This window comes from Homo sapiens, chromosome 12 (assembly GCF_000001405.40).
Source record: "Homo sapiens chromosome 12, GRCh38.p14 Primary Assembly".
NCBI lineage: Eukaryota > Metazoa > Chordata > Mammalia > Primates > Hominidae > Homo > Homo sapiens.
In genome coordinates, this window is record NC_000012.12 from 7,850,136 (window position 1) to 7,871,847 (window position 21,712).

A 21,712-nucleotide genomic window follows, 5' to 3' on the forward strand; every position below is an offset into this window, starting at 1 on the left:
GACTAAGAGATAAGAGATAAAGATTAGACAAGAGCATTTCAGTAAGGTGGAATGGCCTGGGCACATGTCTGGTGGTGGGCAGTTTGTGGGAAGGCTGGGGAATGGTGCTTAGTCCAGTTTAGCTGAGGAATAAGGCACTTACAGGAGTCTAGGAAGAGATAATGCTGGAAAAGCAAGTTCGGGGATGCTGCAGCAGTCTTTGAATACCAGTAGTTCTACTTCAAGTGTAAGCCCTCAGGTGAGGAATGAACTAATTTATTTATTATTATTATTTTTTTGAGACGGAGTCTCGCTCTGTCACCAGGCTTGGAGTGCAGTGGTGTGATCTCGGCTCACTGCAACATCCGTCTCCTGGGTTCAAGCCATTCTCCTGCCTCAGCCTCCCAAGTAGCTGGGATTACAGGCGTGCACCACCACACCCGGCTAATGTTTGTATTTTTAGTAGAGACGGGGTTTCGCCATGTTGGCCAGGATGGTCTCGATCTTTTGACCTCGTGATCCACCCACCTCGGCCTCCCAAAGTGCTGGGATTACAGGCGTGAGCCGCCAGGCCAGGCCATTTATTTATTATTTATTTATTTTTAAGGCTAGTCAAGTGAAGCTGTGAGAGTGGAGAAGGAACAAAGAAAATTGTTACTGGTTGTGATCAGTTGGTTGTAAGGACCACTGCATTTAGACCAGCTATGAAGGAAAATCTTAGGGCTTTTTTTCTCTGTCACAGCACCTACATACTACTTGTGTTCCACATACATCAAATGTGTCTCTTTTATCCTAGATGCTTTGCCTCAGTTAAAATGTTTTTTCTTGGTCTGTGCTTTTTTCACTCTTGCTTTTCCATTGTTTTCCTCGACCTCAACCCTGAACCCCAATTTGGTTGCTTCAGAGGCTTTCTGGAGAGAAACACCCTTGGTACAACAGCAGAAAGCATTTTCTGCAAGCAATCTTCCCTCACCTGTGTTTTTAGAACAAAGACAAGGTTGGAAGTTAGAAAACGTAAGTATCAGCACAGACTGTGGTACAGACTACGCTACAGACTGTGCTGAAAACTTAAGTCATTAAACCTGTGTCTCAGTTCTCTAATTCTAGAAGGTGGTCTTATGGCTGAAGAAGGATACTAGCTATTTTATTCTGTGCAGTCTCAAGGGTTCTACAAATACACAGCCCTAACAAATACTTCCTGACCAATGCATCTGAAGTAGTCATCACCCCGGAAGAAAGGTGAAAAATTATATAAATATTTCAACTACAAATCAGGTGTTCACTTATCAATCCTCTTTCAAATATATACTTGAAACTGCCAAGTTTTTGGAGCCTTTCCCTGGTTCATGTTTGGGTCTGGAACATATAGACATAGTCAATAATAATTTAATAAATGACTAGCTGACTGAATAAATCTCTAGCTCTAAATATAAAAGCATTGAGATCAGGAAACATTACTGTCCTCTATCTTTAAAATAATGAAAATGTAATAAGTAAAAAAGCATTAGGAAAAGATTATTTTTGCCACTAGATTCTAAGTGGTTAACATAGAATTTGAAGAATCAGAAGCATGTGAAAACAGTGACTTAGTTGTATCTGGGTATGGCTGAGAAAGAATTTTTCTCCCCTTTCATCTTTTAATCTCCATTAGACATTGCTCCTCTCAGGTAGCCTGAGAATGAAGCTATTTACTTTTGTCTCATTAGCTCTTCTTTGATCCTGACAGCTGCAGTCAATACAAAAGAAATGCCACAGCCCCAGGAAAAGATTCCAATGTCCCCACGTGGAGGACGTGCAGAGACAGCATCATTCTTTGTCTCCCACATTCTTATCTACCTGGTGACGGGACAGTGACTTCTGCCCCCATCTCTCTCACTAATAAGTAGCTAGTCAACATGATTAGTATAGCCTCATTCCAAAATAGCTACATGTCTCACTAGGGGTCCTAAAAGATAAGAACAGAGCTTCTAGTTTAAGTTGTATTGTATTTACTTAGTTTTTAGAGATGACAGAAGAAAAACAGGATTACTTACCTCCTCAAGAAAAACCTTACAACTGTAACAAATGAATAAACGTGGGGAAGAGAAACAGAAGGCCAGAAAGGAAAATGAGATATGGTGAAAGTATAATTTTTCTTTAAATAACAGTATATGAACATAGTGTCCAAATTTAATCATCGGGCACTGTTAATATTAAAAAAATTATGTAGATTGAGAATGGTGACAGAAAAATGTAAACTTTTCCATTTTACAAAAGTGGAAAAAAGCAGTGCTTCATTTTTTCCCCATCTAGAAAGATTATTCACAGATGATTTCTATGTAATAAAAGAAGAGAGCAGTGATTAGTTGGAAGTAGAATTATTTCAGTAAGTTTAAAACTTTTCTAACTTTTTCCCATAAAGTTAATAAAATCAGAGAAATACCATAGTCCCAAATATAGGTATTACTGACATTTGGGGCCAGACAATTCTTTGTTACAGAGGCTTGTCCCATGCATTACAGAATGGTTAGCAGAATCCCTGGCCTCTCCCCACTAGAAATATGTAATCCCTTTCTTGTAATCATGACAACAAAAATATCTCCAGATATTGCCAAATGTCCACTGGGAGCAAGTCACCACTGTTTGAGAACCACTGCCTTAGACACCATGCACCTTGATTTCAGCAAGACATCTCAGAAAATCTCCAATGAGATCCTGTGCAAAAGGCTGAAATACCTCACCCATCTGACACTCAACTGTTTGGGAAACTCATTTATTTTGTATATAGGCAGGAGGAAACAGAGAAAAAAGAAAGGTTTTCTCACTAAAATTCAAAGCACAACTCATAGAAAGGCTTTGGTCTCTCTCAGGAAGCACATACTCTCTCTCTCCTTTTAAATTATTACAAAATATCCCAAACATACAAAGCAAAATGTTAATATCTGATAGCTTCAATTGGTTATTTGATTTCCGAATCCAACAACGGATTAGATGAAAATAAGAAGAGACATTGTATGCCACAGGTAGGAACACTGACACACTAATGACAATAAGAAAGAAAACAGGGCTGGGCATGGTGGCTCATGCCTGTAATCCCAGAACTTTGGGAGGCTGAGGTGGATGGATCATGAGGTCAGGAGTTTGAGAGCAGCCTGACCAACATGGTGAAACCTTGTCTCTACTAAAATTACAAAAATTAGCTAGGCATGGTGGTGCGCGCCTGTAATCCCAGCTACTCAGGAGGCTGAGGCAGGAGAATCGCTTGAACCCGGGAGGTGGAGGTTGCAGATCATGCCATTGCACTCCAGCCAGAGCAACAGAGAGAGACTCCATTTCAAAAAAAAAAAAAAAAAAAAAAATTAGCCAGGCGTGGTGGCGCACCTGTAGTCCCAGCTACTTGGGAGGCTGAGGCAGGAGAATCTCTTGAACCCAGGAGACAGAGGTTGCAGTGAGCCAAGATCTCACCACTACACTGCAGCCTGGGTGACAGAGCAAGATGCTGTCTCAAGAAAAGAAAAAGAAAGAAAACAGATGAATTATAAAAGGCAAACATATTTCTGAAAGAATGGCAAATCCGAGGGATGACAGTCTTACATTTTGTATATGATTATTCTGGTCACGTTAGTCCTTGGCATCCTACCTTATATGGCATATGACCAACCAGGATGATGACATGTCTAGAAACAGGTCATGAAGAACAGCTGGAGAAACTAGAATTGATTGTTTAGCTCAGAAAATAAAAGATGGAGAATGTGATAACTTTCTTCCAATATTGAATGTGCTTAGAAAAGTGTGTACTTTTCAGGAACCCTGAATGGAAATGAGCATCAAATTTATATAACATTTATAGTCACCTTAGTGTAACTGCAAGAACTTTCTGATAACTAGAGCTATCCAAAATATAATGGGTTGTCTCGTAAGTTAGTTAAGTTTTTCAATGATGGCTTTCCCCCTGACTTCCAGAGTCAATATCACTTGATCTTGGCCAAAAGACTGAGAAGTGATTAGAGTCATATATCTATAGCCTGTCTTATTTGTATCTGGGTGGTCAAAAAGCCTCTCAAATTAAGCATAGCCAAAGGAGAAGTCCTGTTTATCTTTCAAACTCCCAAATCTTTTCCTTCTCTAGTCTTTTACATCTCAGTAAATATTTTATCACTGTTCACCAAATTGCAAAAGCTAGGAGTTATTCAGGATTTTTCTCTTTCCCACACCTTCCATATCTAATCCACCAACAAAAACTGTTACCTTTATCTCCAAAATACTCTTAGATTCCTTCCACTCGCACATGTCTGCTACACCATACTTGTCAAAGCCATTATAAACTGTCCCTTGATCTACTGAAGTAGTCTCCTAATGAGTCTCACTGATTCCTCTCTTTTCTTTTGTTTTTTGTTTGTTTGTTTGCTTTTTGAGATGGAGTTTCACTCTGGTTGCCCAGGCTGGAGTGCAATGGCCCACGAGTGCAATGGCTCACAATGGAGTGCGATCTCGGCTCATGGCAACCTCCGCCTCCCGGGTTCAAACAATTCTCCTGCCTCAGCCTCCTGAGTAGCTGGGATTACAGGCATGTACCACCACACCCGGCTAATTTTGTATTTTTAGTAAAGATGGGGTTTCTCCATGTTGGTCAGGCTGGTCTCAAACTCCTGGCCTCAGCTGATCTGCCCACCTCGACCTCCCGAAATTCTGGGATTACAGGCATCTCACTTTATTATTTTATTTTTTATTTTTTGAGATGGAGTCTCGCTCTGTCACCCAGTCTGGAGTGTAGTGGCGCGATCTCAGCTCAATGCAACCTCCGCCTCCCGTGTTCAAGCAATTCTCTGCCTCAGCCTCCCGAGTAGCTGGGATAACGGGTGTCTGCCACCACGACCAGCTAATTTTTGTATTTTTAGTAGAAACAGGGTTTCACCATGTTGGCGAGGCTGGTCTTGAACTCCTGACCTCGTGATCCACCCACCTCGGCCTCCCAAAGGGCTGGGATTACAGGCATGAGCCACCGCATCCAGCCAGGTATCGCACTTTATATATAGCTTGGGAAATCAATGAGCATCATCTGTCCAGTCTTCATCACTTCCCAGAGTAACCCCTTGATTCCCACTCTGGACATTAGGCATTCCATCTTTACATCCTCTTAAGACAGTTATGTCAATTTCAATTTCTTTTCAGGGAGGGCAGGTAAAACAAAAGCATGCTTCCTCTATTTGTTTTCATTTTTATTTCTTGGAGATGGGGTCTCCCTATGTTGCCCATAGACTGGTCTCAAACTCCTGAGCTCAAGCCATCTTCCTGCCTCAGCCTCCAAAAGTGCTGGGATTACAAGCATGAGCCACTGCGCCCAACTCTCTGTTTGTTTTTTGATGACCACCCCCTTGCTCCCCAAATGGCTGTATCAGCAAAGTTGGGAGCTTAAGAAGAAATCTAAACAGGCCATTACTACCCCTGCAGCTGCCTGTTCTCCTCAACCAGTGTGATGCCACCCTTACCCGAAACGTTTACACATGTACCACTGCTTCTTCCACAAATGCTCCTTTTTTTTTCTTTTTCTTTGTTTTTGTTGAGACAGGGTCTCACTCTGATGCCCAGGCTGGAGTGCAGTTGCACGGCTTCAGCTCACTGCAACCTCCGCCTCCCAGGTTGAAATGATTCTCCTGTCTCAGCCTCCTGAGTAGCTGGGATTACAGGCTCACTCCACCAGCCCGGCTAATTTTTGTATTTTTAGTAGAAACGGGGTTTCACCATGTTAGCCAGGATGGTCTTGATCTCCTGACCTCGTGATCTGCCCGCCTCAGCCTCCCAAAGTGCTGGGATTACAGGTGTGAGCCACCGCGCCTGGCTTACAAAAGCTCCCTCTCAATGCACCAGCCTCACAACATGAAGTAGACTTTTAAAAAATCATTTTATAATTATAATTAGCCATATCATATTGTAAAAATTTTTATATTTTTAATGCAAAACCAGACATGTAAAATTCTGACTAAGTTGATTACACGTATTTAACAAAGTCATTTTCCAAAACTTCAGCTTTCATGGGTTTTGTTTCCTAAAACTGGTTTTCTTAAGAATGTGCCTGCCCAGTCGTAGTGGTGCGTGCCTATAATCCCAGGTAGTTGGGAGGCTTAGGCGAGAGGATCACTTGAGGCCAGCAGTTCTGGGCTGAAGTGTGCTTTGCACATCAGGTGTTGACACTAAGTTTGGCATCAGTATGATAATCTCCCACGAGCGGGGGACCACAAAGTTACCTAAGGAGAAGTGAACTAGCTTCTCCACAGAGCATGGCCCATATAAGTCCCGTGCTGATCCGCAGTGGGATGGCGCCTGTGAATAGCCAGTTATTGCACTCCAGCCAGAACAACATAGCAAGATCCTGTCTCAAAAACTAATGTGTGTGGTTTGCTCATTTTTCTTTTCTACTTTTCGCTACTTTCTTCTACTTTGCAAAAGAAAAGCTATCTCTAACCCATGTTAAACTTTTACTGTGGTGCAAGATGCACAATTTAAGAGTGCATAGCTGCTGAGGAAGAGCACTATTGACGGCATCGATGGAGATGATTAAACGGAGCACCACCCTACTTTATCCAAGTGTGATTATCCATGGATGAATGACATCAGTATCTTCAGGGAGGCTGTTAGACATACAAATTCTCGGCTCCACCCCAGGCCTGCTGAGTCACAATTTCAGCAGAGTGGGATCAGGAAATCTGTATTAACAAGCCTTTGAAGTGGGTATTAATGAATGCTAATTTTTTTTTTTTTTTTGAGACAGAGTCTCGCCCTGTCGCTCAGGTTGGAATGCAAAGTTTTAGAAGGATCAATTGGTAAACAAACCCTAATTTCCAGAGTATATTTGTCTTAGAATTAAGAAGATGGTTGGGCCAGGCACGGTGGCTCACGCCTGTAATCCCAGCACTTTGGGAGGCCAAGGCGGGCGGATCACGAGGTCAAGAGATTGAGACCATCTTGGCCAACATGGTGAAACCCCATCTCTACTAAAAATACAAAAATTAGCTGGGTGTGGTGGCACGTGCCTGTAGTTCCAGCTACTCGGGAGGCTGAGGCAGGAGAATCGCTCAAACCCAGGAGGTGGAGGTTGCAGTGAGCCGAAATCTTGCTACTATACTCCAGCCTGGGTGACAGAGCAAGAATCCGTCTCAAAAAACAAACAAACAAACAAAAAACATAAACAAAAACCATTCATAAAACACATATAGGCCAGGCACGGTGGCTCACGCCTGTAATCCTAGCATTTTGGGAGGCCAAGGTGGGTGGATGACTTGAGGTCAGAAGTTTGAGACCGGCCTGACCAAAATGGTGAAACCCCGTCTCTATTAAAAATACAAAATTACCCGAGCGCAGTGGTGCACACCTGTAATCCCAGCTACCTGGGAGGCTGAGGTAGGAGAATCACTTGAAGCTGGGAGGTAAAGGTTGCAGCGAGCCAAGATCGCGCCATTGCACTCCAGCCTGGGCAACAAGAGTGAAACTCCATCTCAAAACAAAACAAAACAAACACATATATTCCTTTCTAAAAATTAAATAGTTCTCTTGATCTTACCTTCAGCTTGAGAGGATAGAACAGTACCCTATATCTGCGCTCCCTTTTATTTATTTTTGACAGAGAGTCTCCCTATGTTGCCCAGGCTGGTCTTGAACTCCTGGGCTCAAGCAATTCTCCTGCCTCAGCTTCCCAAGTAGCTGGGATTACAGGCAGGTGCTGCTGGGCCTGGCCCATATGGTCCTTTTTAAAGCAAAATTCCAGGCCAGGCATGGTGACATGAACACTTTGGGAGGCCAAGGCAGGAGGATCACTTGAGGCCAGGAGGTTGAGACCAACCTGGCCAACATGGTGAAACCCCGTCTTTACTAAAAACAACAAAAAAATTAAAATTAGCCTGGTGTGGTGGCTTGCACCTTTAATCCCACCACTTGGGAGGCTGAGGCAATAAGTACTGTTTGAGCCCAGGAAGTGGAGGCTGGAATGAGCCGAGATCGTGCCACTGCACTCCAGCCTGGGTGACACAGCAAAACTCTTATCTGAAAAAAAACAAAAACAAAATTTCTCCATTTCCTTAAATAATTCCCTATTGAACCTATACCAGTAAGGCATTTGCCCCATTTCTCTATTTGAACCATTCCTGTCAGTCATCAACAAACACTATCTTATGAAATCCAATGGTCAATTCTCGAGCCTTCTTACTCAACCACTCAACATCTGACAAAACCTATCATTCTCTCCTTGTTCATATAAATGGGTTGTATTTTATTACTGAGTTGTAAAAGGACTTTACATATTCTAGATACAAGCCCCTTATCATACACATGATTTGCTATAATTGTCTCCCATTCTGTGGGTTGTCTTTTCACTTTCTTGGGTATCCTTTGAAACACAAAAATTTTAATTTTCTTTTCTTTTTCTTTTTGAGATGGAGTTTCGCTCCTATTGCCAAGGCTGGAGTGCAATGGCATGACCTCAGCTCACCACAACTTCCGCCTCCCGGGTTCAAGCGATTCTCCTGCCTCAGCCTCCCGAGTAGCTGGGATTCCAGGCATGTGCCACCACACCCTGCTAATTTTGTATTTTTAGTAGAGATGGAGTTTCTCCATGTTGGTCAGGCTGATCTCAAACTCCCAACCTCAGGTGATCTGCCTGCCTCAGCCTCCCAAAGTGCTGGGATTACAGGCGTGAACCACCCTGCCCAGCCCCAAATTTTAAATTTTGAATATATCCAATATACCCAGTTTTTCATTTGCTCATGCTTTTGTTGTCATAGCTAAGAAATCATTACCCAATCCAAGATCACAAACATTAACATTTATGTTTTCTTCTAAGAGTTTTATGGTTGTAGCACTTTCATCCATTCTGAGTTAATTTTTGTATACAGTATGAGGTAAAGGTCCAGTTGCATTTTTTGGCATACAGTTATCCTCTTCTCCCTTCACCATTTGTTGAAAAGACTATTCTTTCCCCCATTGAATAATCTTGGCACCCTTGTCAAAAATCAGTTGAACAGGCTGGGCGTGATGGCTGGTGCCTGTAATCCCAGCACTTTGAAAGGCTGAGGAGGGCGGATCACCTGAGGTCAGGAGTTGGAGATCAGCCTGACGAACACGGTGAAACCCTGTCTGTACTAAAAATACAAAAAGTTAGCTAGGCGTAGTGGCGCATGCCTGTAATCCCAGCTACTCAGGAGGCTGAGGCAGGAGAATCACTTGAACCCAGGAGGCAGTGGTTGCGATGAGCCAAGATGGTGCCACTGCACTCCAACCTGGGTGACAGAGCAAGACTCCGCTGTCTCAAAAAATAAAAAAAAAAAGGAAATAAATTTTGGAAAGGAAGTGATAGTCAATGTGAGGTGCAAAATATACAGGTTTTGCAAGGAGCCCATTTATTATACATGACCAGGGCTAGGGTATTAACCATGGGAATAAATGACTGAGGTGGACTGGAAAACAAGATGATTGGAAATGAGTGGACAAGAAACTGAGGGCCAGTTGTCTCCATACATCATGGAATAGCCAGGACTGATGACAGTAGGAATGGTGAAAACCAAGAGAATGAATCAGGCTTCTAAATTTTCAGAGAATGTGGGGGAAGTGACCCAGGAGTTCAGTAGATTATTACAATATCCTGATGGCATGCACTGAAAAGAAGCTGAGTTTTTAAGGGATTAGCAACAGTTTGAAGTAGGCAAAGAGCAGCATCATAAGAGTTACAAACGAAATGCTGAACCTACCCTGTAGTACTTTCAGAGAAGTGAGATCCTCTAACTTGAAAGATCAAGAAGGGGATCATGGGAAACGTGGCATTTATATGGACCTTGAAAGATGAAAAGAATTTTGAGAGAAATAGACTTGGAAAGATAATTCCAGGCAGAGAGATGCTATTACCAACCAAAGAGCTGACACTGCTCCACCCACGCCTGGTGCTTTTGCAAATCCGCCTCCAGAGCCCGTTGCTGTGGTGCTAGTAACATCCTTGGTATTACCAGAGCTGGTTAGCAGTTGGCCACCAGGTGGCAGTGTATATCTTTGCGCCATCCCTCCCAGTACTGGCCCTGGAGAAAAACTGGAAGTGAGAATTAGCACAGGTACAGCTGAGGTGAGATCAGTGGCTTGTGGATTGTGTATTTAGTTAGGCCTGAAGAAGCAAAGCCCTCAGAGAAGAGGATAAATTTGGGAACATTTAGGGAAAATATCAGGCAGAAGATAAAAGGAAAGGAAATTGCCTCAGGGCGAGAGTATAATGAGGTCTAAAAAGTAGTAGGGGGCTCTTGGAGGGACAGCCATGTCCTCCTGGCCATTCCTTTAGGAACTAGTTGGTCAGGATAGCCACGCTGCCCTAGGCTTTACAAAACTCCGGAAATACACTCTTGGAACCAGAGGTGATAATTCACTGAATGAGGATTACCCCAACCAGCCACAGCGGGAAATCCTTGGAGAAGGTGTGCGCTGATTGGATCAGAGGCACAAAGGAAAAGAATCCCAGCATGAAGGACCAGTTGGAATGCCAAGACTCCATAAATCACTGCAAGAAAAACGCCTTATGGTGAGGGTTCTGGGATTTGGGATCATTTCCAGATGAGAATCCACAGATGACTCACTGCCTCACACAGTCCTTCTGAGGTTGTTAAACAGATTGTTTCCATCAGTATTGAGTCAGGAATTGAGGCTGCTCCCCACTGCACTTACTTGTCAACTTTTTTTTTTTTTCCTGAGACAGAGTTTCACTCTTGTGGCCCAGGCTGAAGTGCAATGGCGCAATCTCAGCTCACTGCAACCTCTGCCTCCTGGGTTCAAGCGATTCTCCTGCCTCAGCCTCCCGAGTAGCTAGGATTAGAGGCATGCACCACCATGCCCAGCTAATTTTTTATTTTTAGTAGAGACGGGGTTTCTCCATGTTGGTCGGGCTGGTCTCAAACTCCAGACCACAAGTGATCCACCCACCTCGGTCTCTCAAAGTGCTGGGATTACAGGCGTGAGCCACCTCGCCCGGCATCAACTGTTTTCATAAATTAATTATCAGTTGTTTAAAGAAAGAAGCAGCCAAAAGGAAGAACCAAAGAGAGAGGGGAGATGTGAAGATCTGTAGTGCAAGGTGAGGAAAAGGCACCAGAGCAACATTGGAAGAGAGTTTGGAGCAATAGTCTTTTTTTTGGTGGGGGGGAGGCTTGTTTATTCCCCATAATAATTTTCAAAAACTATGTATTTCCCCTACACATTTTTAAGTTGACATCTAAGAAAATTTTTTTATGTTTAAGTAGCTTCCAGGGATTAATTTCTGCTGTCTATTATCTGGTATACATGCTTTCAGTACCACTGCTAGCTTTTCCATTGCTTTTGTGCAAATTAGGCAAAGGTGCCCTTTTGGGAAAAAGCAGGTTTTCTAGGAACGGTACTCTTGTGTAAAGAAAAAATGTGCCCCTTCCTCTGGATGAGGAGGAGAGCCTGGCCAGTGGATTGCAGGCTGTATTTCAGCCTCTACTTATCCCACAAAACCGCACAACTAAGTTTCAGCCCTTCACTTGTCCCGAAAACCATACAAACCATACATAAAAGCTTTGTAAACTTTAACTGAAAAAAAACAGGCCATGCGCGGAGGCTCACCCTTGTAATCCCAGCACTTTGAGGGGCTGAGGCAGCAGATCTCCTGAGGTCAGGAATTCCAGACCAGCCTGGCCAACATGGTGAATCCCCATCTATACTAAAAATACAAAAATTAGCCAGGTATGGTGGCGCACACCTGCAATCCCACCTACTCGGGAGGCTGACGCAGGAGAAATGCTGGAACCCGGGAGGCAGAGGTTGCAATGAGCTGAGATTACGCCACTGCACTCCAGCCTGGGCGACAGAGCGAGACTCCATTTCAAAAAAAAAAAAACAAAAACAAAGGCCAGTGTGGTGACTCAGGTCTGCAATCCCAGCACTTTGGGAGGCCAAGTCAGGTGGATCACGAGGTGAGGAGTTTGAGACCAGCTTGACCAACATGGTGAAACCCCGTCTCTACTAAAAATACAAAAATTATCTGGGCATGGTCGCGCATGCCTGTAATCCCAGCTACTCAGGTGGCTGAGGCAGCAGAATTGCTTGAACCCAGGAGGCGGAGGTTGCAGTGAGCCGAGATCACGCCACTGCACTCCAGCCTGGGCTACAGAGCCAGACTTGTCTCTCAAAAAAAAAAAAAAAAAAAAAAAAGAAGACACCAAACTGCATGCGGTGGCACATGTCTGTAATACCAGCACTTTGGAAGGCCGAGACAGGGTCCCCCAGCAGTGCCAGCCCACCGGCGCTGCGCTCGATTTCTCGCCGGGCCTTAGCTGCCTTCCCACGGGGCAGGGCTCGGGACCTGCAGCCCGCCATGCCTGAGCCTTCCCACCCCCTCTGTGGCCTCCTGTGCGGACGAGCCTCCCCGACGAATGCCGCCCCCTGCTCCACGGCGCCCAGTCCCATCGACCACCCAAGAGCTAAGGAATGCGAGCACATGGCGCGGGACTGGCAGGCAGCTCCACCTGCAGCACCGGTGCGTGATCCACTAGGTGAAGCCAGCTGGGCTCCTGAGTCTGGTGGGCACTTGGAGAACCTTTATGTCTAGCTCAGGGATTGTAAATACACCAATCGGCACTCTGTATCTAGCTCAAGGTTTGTAAATACACCAGTCAGCACCCTGTGTTTAGCTCAAGGTTTGTGAGTGCACCAATTGACACTCTTTATCTAGCTGCTCTGGTGGGGCCTTGGAGAATCTGTGTGTGGAAACTCTGTATCTAACTAATCTGATGGGCACGTGGAGAACATTTGTATCTGGCTCAGGGATTGTAAACGCACCAATCAGCCCCCTGACAAAACAGGCCACTCGGCTCTACCAATCAGCAGGATGTGGGTGGGGCCAGATAAGAGAATAAAAGCAGGCTGCCCAAGCCCGCATTGGCAACCAGCTTGGGTGTCCTTTCAAACTGTTGAAGCTTTGTTGTTTCACTCTTTGCAATAAATCTTGCTACTGCTCACTTTTTATGTCCACGTTGCTTTTATGAGCTGTAACTCTCACCGCAAAGGTCTGCAGCTTCATTTTTGAGCCCAGCGAGACTACGAGGCCACCGGAAGGAACGAACGACTCCTGACGCGCTGCCTTAAGAGCTGCGACACTCACGGCGGAAGTCTGCAGCTTCACTCCTGAGCCAGCAAGACCACGAACCCACCAGAAGGAAAACACTCCGAACGCATCTGAACATCAGAAGGGAGGGACTCCAGACGCACCACTTTAAGGGCTGTAACACTCACTGCGAGGGTGTGCGGCTTCATTCTTGAAGTCAGTGAGACCAAGAACCCACCAATTCCAGACACATGGCCACCATTGTGAAACTCCATCTCTATTAAAAATACAAAAAAATTAGCTGGGTGTGCTGGTGCATGCCTGTAGTCCCAGCTACCTGGGAGGCTGAGGCAGGAGAATGAACCCAGGACACAGAGGTTGCAGTGAGCTGAGATTGTGCCACTGCACTCCCGCCTGGGTGACAGAGTGACTCCATCTTAAAAAAAAATAAAAAATAAACCTTGGAATACGGACATAGCTCATTCAATTCATTGACATATAAACTAAATGACAAACATACTGTTTATGGAGAAACCTGTGAGCCACATCTTTTGGCTTTGGAAGCCAAAAGCCTAACTTCCTTTTATTTCAGATGAAAACTTATCTCCCTATATCAACCATCTTCCTTTTTTTTCTTTTTTTCTTTTTTTTTTTTGAGACGGAGTCTCACTGTTGCCCAGGCTGGGGTGCAGTGGCATGATCTTGGCTCACTGCAACCTCCACCACCCGGGTTCAAGCGATTCTCCCGCGTCAGCCTCCCGAGTAGCTGGCACTACAGGCATGTGCCACCATGCCTGGCTAATTTTTTGTGTTTTTTAGTAGAGCCAGGGTTTCACTGTGGTAGCCAGGATGGTCTTGATCTCCTAACCTCGTGATCTGCACGCCTCGGCCTCACAAAGTGCTGGGATTACAGGTGTCAGCCCCCGCGCCCGGCCACCACATTGTTTTGATTACAGCTTACTGCTGAATTTTGAGAGTGCTTTACATTCTCTAGAAACAAATCCTTTGGGATATGTGGTTTGCAAATATCTTCTCTGAATGTAGCCTATCTTTTCACCATATACATGGGGCCTTTTGCAGAGCAAAAGCTTTTCATTTTGATAAGCCCAAATTTATCAATTTTTCCTCTTGTGGTTTGAGCTTTTAACGTCTTTTGTTGTTGTTGTTATTGTTGTTTGAGATGGAGTCTCGCTCTGTCGCCCAGGCTGAGTGCAGTGGTGCAATCTCAGCTCACTGCAACCTCCGCCTCCCGGATTGAAGCCATTCTCCTGCCTCAGCCTTCCAACTAGCTGGGACTGCAGGTGCGCACCACCATGCCTGGCTAATTTTTTGTATTTTTAGTAGAGACGGGGTTTCACCATGTTAGCCAGGATGGTCTCGATCTCCGGACCTCATCATCCGCCGGCCTCGGCCTCCCAAAGTGTTGGGATTACAGGCGTGAGCCACCGTGCCCGGCTGAGCTTTTACTGTTAAGTCTCTTTTACTATAACACAGGCATGCTCACTTGTTTATGTAATGAACGTGGCTGCTTAAATGCTATGACGTTGGAACTGAGTAGCTGTAGTGGTGACTGAGCCGCTATGGCCCACAAAGCCTCTATCTGCACAAAAAGAGTCAGCCGACCCAGGCTCTAATCAGATAAGCCTCCATACTCTTAGGGTATTTTCATATGCCTTTCCCTCTATCTGAAACACTCTTTCTTCAGATCTCCTCATGGCCGGCTCTTTATGTCACTCTGGTTTCTGCTCAAATTTACCGTAAAGAGGCCTTCCCTGACCACACTACAGGTATATCTCGCTTTATTGCATTTTGCTCCTATTGCGCTTTTTTACAAATTGAAGGTTTGTGGCAATCCTATGTTAAGCAAGTCTATTGGCCTCATTTTTCCAACAGCATGAGCTCACTTTGAGTCTCTGTGCCACATTCTGGTAATTCTTGTAATATTTCAAACATTTCGTTATTATTATATCTGTTATAGTGATCTGTGATCAGTGATCTTTGATATTACTATTGTCATTGTTTTGGCATGAACCATACCTATATAAGACAATGAATATACAAAAATTAGCCAGGCAGGCTGGGCACGGTGGCTCCCACCTGTAATCCCAGCACTTTGGGAGGCCAAGGTGGGCGGATCACGAGGTCAGGAGATCGAGACCATCCTGGCTAACATGGTGGAACCCCATCTCTACTAAAAACACAAAATATTCGCCGGGCGTGGTGGCACATGCCTGTAGTCCCAGCTACTCGGGAGGCTGAAGCAGGAGAATCTCTTGAACCTGGGAGGCGGAGGTTACAGTGAGCCGAGATCGTGCCACTGCACTCCAGCCTGGGCGGCAGAGTGAGACTCTGTCTCAAAAAAAAAAATGAAAATAAAAATAAAAAAAGACAATAAATCTAATTAATAAATACTGTATGCATTCTGACTGCTCCACTAACTGGCCATTCCCCATTTCTCTCTCCTTCTCTCTCTTCTCAGGCCTCCCTATTTCCTGAGACAATAATATTGAAAATTAGGCCAATTAAAAACCCTAAATGGCATCTAAGAATTCAAGTGAAAGAGTCAAACATATCTCACTTTAAATCAAAAGCTAGAAATGATTAAGATTAGTGATAAAGGCATGTCAAAAGCCAAGAGAAGCCAAAAGCAAGGCCTGTTGCACCAAACAGTTAGCCAAGCTATAAATACCAAGGAAAAGTTCTTGAGGAAAATTAAAAGTGCTACTCCAGTGAACACACTGAAAGTGTGACAGGGGCCGGGCATGGTAGCTCACGCCTGTAATCCCAACACTTTGGGAGGCCGAGGCGGGTGGATCATCTGAGGTCAGGAGTTCGAGACCATCCTGGCCAACATGGCAAAACCCTGTCTCTACCAAAAATACAAAAATTAGCCAGGCATGGTGGCGTGCGCTTGTACCCAGCTAATCCCAGCTACCCAGGAGGCTGTGGCAGGAGAATCGCTGGAACCCAGTGGGCAGAGGCTGCAGTGAGCTGAGATTGCACCACTGCACTCCAGCCTGGGTGACAGACCAAGACTCTGTCTCAAAAAAAAAAAAAAAAAAGAAAAGAAAGTGAAACAGATGTATTGCTGATATGGAGAAAGTTTTAGTGGTCTAGATAGACCACTAAACATTTTCTTAAGCCAAAGCCTAATCCAGAGCAAGGCCCTAACTTTCTTTAATTTTTTCTTTTTACTTTGAGATGGAGTCTTGCTCTGTCGCCTAGGCTGGAGTGAGTGCAGTGGCATGATCTCAGCTCACTGCAACCTCCACCTCCTGGGTTCAAGCTATTGTCCTGCCTCAGCCTCCCAAGTAGCTGGAACTATAGGCGCCTGCCACCACGCCCAGCTAATTTTTATATTTTTTAGTAGAGACAGGGTTTCACTATGTTGGCCAGGCTGATCTAGAAATCCTGGCCTCAGGTGATCCACCCGCCTCAGCCTCCCAAAGTGCTGGGATTACAGGCATAAGCTACTGGGCCCAGCCAACTTTCTTTCATTTTATGAAGGCTGAGAAAGGTGAGGAAGCTGTAGAAGAAATGTTAGAAGGTAGCAGAAGTTGGTTCATGAGGTTTAAGGAAAGAAGCTGTCCCTATAACTTAAAAGTACAAGGTAGGTGAAGCAGCAAGTGCTGATACAGAAGCTACAACTAGTTATCCAGATTTAGCTAAGATAATTGATAAAAGTGGCAACACTATACAACAGATTTTCAGTGTAGATGAAAAAGCCTTACATTGGAGGAAGATGCCATCTAGGACTTTCATGGTTTTTTTTTTTTTTGAGACAGAGTTTCACTTTTGTCGCCCATGCTGGAGTGCAATTGCTCAATCTCGGCTCACGCCTGTAATCCCAGCACTTTGGGAGGCCGAGGCGGGTGGATCACAAGGTCAGGAGATTGAGACCATCCTGGCTAACACGGTGAAACCCCGTCTCTACTAAAAACACAAAAAATTAGCCGGGCGTGGTGGCGGGGGCCTGTAGCCCCAGCTACTCTGGAGGCTGAGGCAGGAGAATGGCTTGAACCCAGGAGGCGGAGCTTGCAGTGAGCGGAGATCTCGTGCCACTGCACTCCAGCCTGGGCGACAGAGGGAGACTCCGTCTCAAAAAAAAAAAAAAAAAAAACAAAAAAAACATTCGTGATTCATGGGAGGAGGTCAAAATGTCAACATTAACAGAACTTTGGAAGAAGTTGATTCCAACCATCATGGATGACTTTGATGGGTTCAAGACTTAAGTGGAGGAAGTAACTGTAGATGTGGTAGAAATAGCAAGAGAACTAGAATTAGAAGTGGAACCCGAAGATGAGACTGAATTGTTGCAATCTCATAAGAAAACTTGAATGGATGAGGAGGTGCTGCTTATGCATAAGCAAAGAAAGTGGTTCTTGGCTGGGCTCAGTGGCTCACACCTGTAATCCCAGCACTTTGGGAGGCTGAGGCAGGCAGATCACAAGGTCAGGAGTTTGAGACCAGCCTGGCCAATATGGTGAAACCCCATCTCTACTAAAAATACAAAAATTAGCTGGGTGTGGTGGCGTGCGCCTGTAGTCCCAGCTACTCGGGAGGCTGAGGCAGAAGAATCACTTGAACCTGGGAGGTGGAGGTTGCAGTGAGCCGAGATCGTTCCACTGCACTCCAGACTGGGTGACAGAGTGAGACTCTGTCTCAAAAAAAAAAAAAAAAAGGAAGTGTTTCTAGACATGGAATCTACTCCTAGTAAACGTGTTGTGAATATTGTTGAAATGACAGCAAAGGATTTCAAATATTACGTAAATTTAGTTAATAAAGCAGTAACAAAGTGTGAGAGAACTGACTCGAATTATGAAAGAAGTTCTACTTGGCTAAAATGCTATCAAACAGCATCACATGCTACAGAGAACTCCTTCGTGAAAATAAGAGTCTATAATAGATGCAGCAAACTTCATTGTTGTCTTACTTAAATAAATTGCTACAGCCAACCCCAGCCTTTAGTAACCACAACCCTGATCAGTCGGCAGCCATCAATGCTGAGGCAAGACCCTCCAGAGGCAAAAAGATTATGACATGCTGAAGGCTCAGATGATTGTTAGCATTTTTTAGCAAGAAGGTATTTTTAAATTAAGGTATATACATTTTGTTTAGACACAATGCTATTGTACAGGAAATACACAACAGTATAATGTAACATAACTTTTATATGCACTGGGAAGCCAAAGTATTTCTGACTCACTTTATTGGATATTAGCTTTCTCTCAGCAGTCTGGAACCAAACCTGCACTATCTCTGAGGTATGCCTGTATTTAGAATAATCAAAATCCTCCCCGTCCATTCCACCATTTTCTATCCCTTTATCTTGCTTTATTTTTCTTCTTAGAATTTATCACTTCCTTCTCTATCAGGGTAGTCATAGGCACCAAGAGTGCCTGTAGTATAATAGCTACTCGAGAAATATTTCAGTGAATAAATGAGTCATGAAGAACTACTACATCTTCCCAGAAAAAAGCTACATATTAGCCTGTAACTTGTTTTGTTAGAGAAAAAATACTTGAATAAAAGAATATGTCTGGTCAGGCACAGTGGCTCGCTCATGGCTGTAATCCCAGCATTTTGGGAGGCCGAGGCAGGTGGATCACCAGAGATCAGGAGTTCAAGACCAGTCTGGCCAACATGGCGAAACCCTGTCTCTACAAAAATACAAAAAAATTATGCCGGGCTCGTTGGCTCAAGCCTGTAATCCCAGCACTTTGGGAGGCCGAGGCGGGCAGATCACCTGAGGTCGGGAGTTCAAGACCAGCCTGACCAACATGGAGAAACCCCATCTCTACTAAAAATACAAAATTAGCCGGGCATGGTGGCTCATGCCTGTAATCCCAGCTACTCGGGAGGCTGAGGCAGAAGAATCGTTTGAACCCAGGAGGCGGAGGTTGCGGTGAGCCGAGATCACACCATTGCGCTCTAGCCTGGGCAACAAGAGTGAAACTCCATCTCAAAAAAAAAAAAAACAGTGTTGACTAAGTATGCTCTGCTTCTCTAAGTGTCACATTAAAATGTTCAGAAAAAATCTGGGAGTTGGAGATGCAAAGCATTCAAGATGCGGGTAAGTTCCCAGAAAATAAGTTTAGTGAGTCTTTCCAGAGGTGAGCACATGTGGCAAATTAGGCATTACGTAACTTAACCACCAGATGCTGCCTATCCTACCCTCCAGCCCAATCCAAAGGCTCATATGTTGCTGAATACATTTTCTTGATCTTTATCACAGTATGCAAGTACAATGACTCAGTTACACTCTATAGTCTGCTCTAGAAAAAGTTATTATTACTGTGTACATTCATATATTACTCTATGTTACTCTTCACGCGTATATAGCCATGGTTCTTTCCAAGGAAATTCCCGCAAAACCAGTTGCATATGATTATTACGGAGGCCTGTTTGCAATTACAATGCTGATCATAAATATTTTATCATTCGTCTTGTTCTTGATAATATTAAAGCACAAAAGGCTGCAAATGGCAAAGAGTAATTGCTTATGAATAAAAAGATTTTGGGAATGTACCAAGTCTGTTGGCTGTAACAGTCTCTCCCACCACCACTTACGTATATTACACATTATCAAGACATGAAAAGTTTAGGAAGATGATAGGTACTGTGATTATCAACATAACTCTGACAAACCAATTTGATATCTGACATCAGTTTTAATACTCACATTCTGTCTGTTGTCCATCTCTCTGCTATCCTAGGAATTGACTCCCTCTCCAATTTCTCTTCAAGGTACTGCTTCCTGTAAATTGTAATTGTCTAGTTATTCATTTACTCCATCTACTTAAGCTCCTTGAGGGAAGAGGCTGTGATTTAGCCCCCTCGCCAATGGACACTCCAATAAATACTTCTGGAAGAAAAGTGAAAATTTATATAATTCTATTGATGTTTTAGATTAACTCAATTCTGGGATCCTCAACAAAGTTTATTCTACTCATTCAGTAGCCATTGAGAAGCATTTTTTCAAATAAGGGTTCTGGGGAGAGACAGCTGAAGGTAAGGTAAAAATGTCTCTCCTATATTTTGAGTTGTTTCTCTGTCACCAACTAGCAGTTTCCCCATCTGCAAAATGAGCAAGGATTGGATTAGGTAATCTTGCTGTCATAAAATTCTGTGATTTAATGTGGTTTACCTTGCCATATAAAATTTAAAACACTTAGAACAAGCCACCTCTCCTCATAGCATCACCTTAGCCTAAACTGCTTCAGTGAGCCACAGTGAAGTTGGAAGTCGTGATTCTGCTTAACCAGTTACCAAATGTGAGTCTGTTTCCTCCTCTACCAGCTCTGCTGACTTGGACTGATAGTTCTGAAGGTCTGCTGAGATACGTTATGTTGAACACCTGTGTTATTTCCTGAGTCTATTAGGAGGAGGAGAATTAGGACAGACTGTCCCTTCCACTATTCCACATCCTCCTTATTTCATTTTCATTTCTCTCTGCTACCTTCCCCACCCTGCGCCTCACTGTTTTTGTTCCTGTATCAGCTAGTTCTTATCTTCTAGGTCATTCACACTTGGAAAAAACAAATAAAGTCAAACCAAAAAAAACCTCAGAACTCTTTTAACTCAAATAAATATACTTTTCAAAAAAAGTAAAGTAGTATGGTCAGCCCAGCTCCAAGAACCCAGTGAAGCCCCCACCCACCTGAAGCCAAAATGTTCAGCAAGTGGACCAAAGCCAAGACCACCAAGAAGCGACCACAGCACAAGGGGCCACATCCAATGTCTTCGTGATGTTCGACCAGTTCCACATCCAGGAGTTTAAGGAGGCTTTCAACATGATTGACCAGAACCATGATGGCTTCAATGACAAGGGGGACAGCACGACAAGCTGGCTTCACCGCGGAAGAACCCCATGGATGAATACCTGCAGGGCATGATGAGCGAGGCCCCAGGGCCCATCAACTTCACCACTTCCCTCACCATGTTTGGGGAGAAGCTGAATGGAACAGACCCCCAGGATGTGATCCAAAACGCCTTCACCTGCTTCAACGAGGAATCCTCAGGTTTCATTCATGAGGACCACCTCCAGGAGCTGCTCACCACCATGGGTGACAGCTTCACAGATGAAGAAGTGGATGAGATGTACTGGGAGGCACCCATTGATAAAAAAAGACAAGTTCAACTAGGTGGAGTTCACCTGCATCCTCATACATGGCGCCAAGGGCAAAGATGACTAGGCCACCCCAGCCCTCGCGACACCCTGGCCCCCCCGCCAGTCATCTCCCCACCCCCGGCACACACTGGTCTGTACCAGCTCTCTGCCCACGACCTTCTCTCAGGGGATCCTCCCTTTGAGGGCTTCGGGTCCCAGCTCCCAGTGGAGAAATCACGCCAAGAGAAGTGCAGTGCAGGACTGAGGCAGGTGTTCTCACTGTGACCCTAGGGCCCTGGGCTGGAGTCTCTGACCCCTCCAGGGAAAGACCGCCTTATGAAGAGATGGGCCTCCAGGACCTGGAGGTACTGAGAGAAAGCCCCCAAGACAGCCATTCCTGGGCTGCTCCCCAAGGAGGAAGGGAACCTGTGTGCCCCCAGGAGGAAGGGACCCTTAGTCCTGAGATCCAATACCATTTCACATGCATCCCCACCCAAACACAAGTTCACCAAAGTCCCCTCTCAGAGGACAGGACACTAGACTCCTCCCCTACACCC

At 44.6% G+C, this 21,712-nt stretch overlaps 1 protein-coding gene and 2 pseudogenes across 6 annotated transcripts in view, besides 5 other annotated features; 2 read left to right on the forward strand and 1 right to left on the reverse strand.

Moving 5' to 3' along the window:
• Nucleotides 1-21,712, reverse strand: part of SLC2A14 (solute carrier family 2 member 14) — a 78,683-nt gene that overhangs the window by 37,622 nt on the left and 19,349 nt on the right. For 2 of the 6 annotated variants that reach the window (NM_001286236.2, NM_001286234.2), the window contains exon 2: nt 19,728-19,802. The exons of 1 other annotated variant lie outside the window; for it this stretch is intronic. Coding sequence is in view for 4 of the 5 variants with exons in the window: in NM_001286234.2 (NP_001273163.1) it covers nt 19,728-19,745 (18 nt within the window). In the remaining variant the exon portion in view is untranslated. Of the gene's footprint in view, nt 1-13,233; nt 13,323-19,727; nt 19,803-20,705; nt 20,928-21,043; nt 21,149-21,712 lie in introns of all 6 variants that reach the window. 3 more of the 6 variants (NM_001286233.2, NM_153449.4, NM_001286235.2) reach the window with 3 other exon arrangements.
• Nucleotides 981-2,180: an enhancer, noted in NCBI's record as "P300/CBP strongly-dependent group 1 enhancer chr12:8003712-8004911 (GRCh37/hg19 assembly coordinates)". NCBI's record gives its function as "activates an origin of replication core promoter dependent on BRD2, BRD4, P300/CBP, MED14 and CDK7 cofactors, with strong dependence on P300/CBP, by STARR-seq in HCT116 cells {active_cell/tissue: HCT116}" and the evidence as "EXISTENCE:reporter gene assay evidence [ECO:0000049][PMID:35650434]".
• Nucleotides 9,658-10,453: an enhancer, noted in NCBI's record as "OCT4-NANOG-H3K27ac-H3K4me1 hESC enhancer chr12:8012389-8013184 (GRCh37/hg19 assembly coordinates)". NCBI's record gives its function as "activates a minimal SCP1, AML or CMV promoter by ChIP-STARR-seq in primed H9 embryonic stem cells {active_cell/tissue: H9 hESC(primed)}" and the evidence as "EXISTENCE:reporter gene assay evidence [ECO:0000049][PMID:30033119]".
• On the forward strand, nt 10,314-10,629 carry RPS20P29 (ribosomal protein S20 pseudogene 29; annotated as a pseudogene).
• Nucleotides 10,454-11,248: an enhancer, noted in NCBI's record as "OCT4-NANOG-H3K27ac-H3K4me1 hESC enhancer chr12:8013185-8013979 (GRCh37/hg19 assembly coordinates)". NCBI's record gives its function as "activates a minimal SCP1, AML or CMV promoter by ChIP-STARR-seq in primed H9 embryonic stem cells {active_cell/tissue: H9 hESC(primed)}" and the evidence as "EXISTENCE:reporter gene assay evidence [ECO:0000049][PMID:30033119]".
• Nucleotides 12,605-12,805: a silencer, noted in NCBI's record as "peak1563 fragment used in MPRA reporter construct". NCBI's record gives its function as "represses an SCP1 promoter by STARR-seq MPRAs in K562 erythroleukemia cells {active_cell/tissue: K562}" and the evidence as "EXISTENCE:reporter gene assay evidence [ECO:0000049][PMID:32103011]".
• Nucleotides 13,494-13,995: an enhancer, noted in NCBI's record as "H3K27ac hESC enhancer chr12:8016225-8016726 (GRCh37/hg19 assembly coordinates)". NCBI's record gives its function as "activates a minimal SCP1, AML or CMV promoter by ChIP-STARR-seq in primed H9 embryonic stem cells {active_cell/tissue: H9 hESC(primed)}" and the evidence as "EXISTENCE:reporter gene assay evidence [ECO:0000049][PMID:30033119]".
• LOC100130582 (myosin light chain 9 pseudogene) lies at nt 20,686-21,535 on the forward strand (annotated as a pseudogene).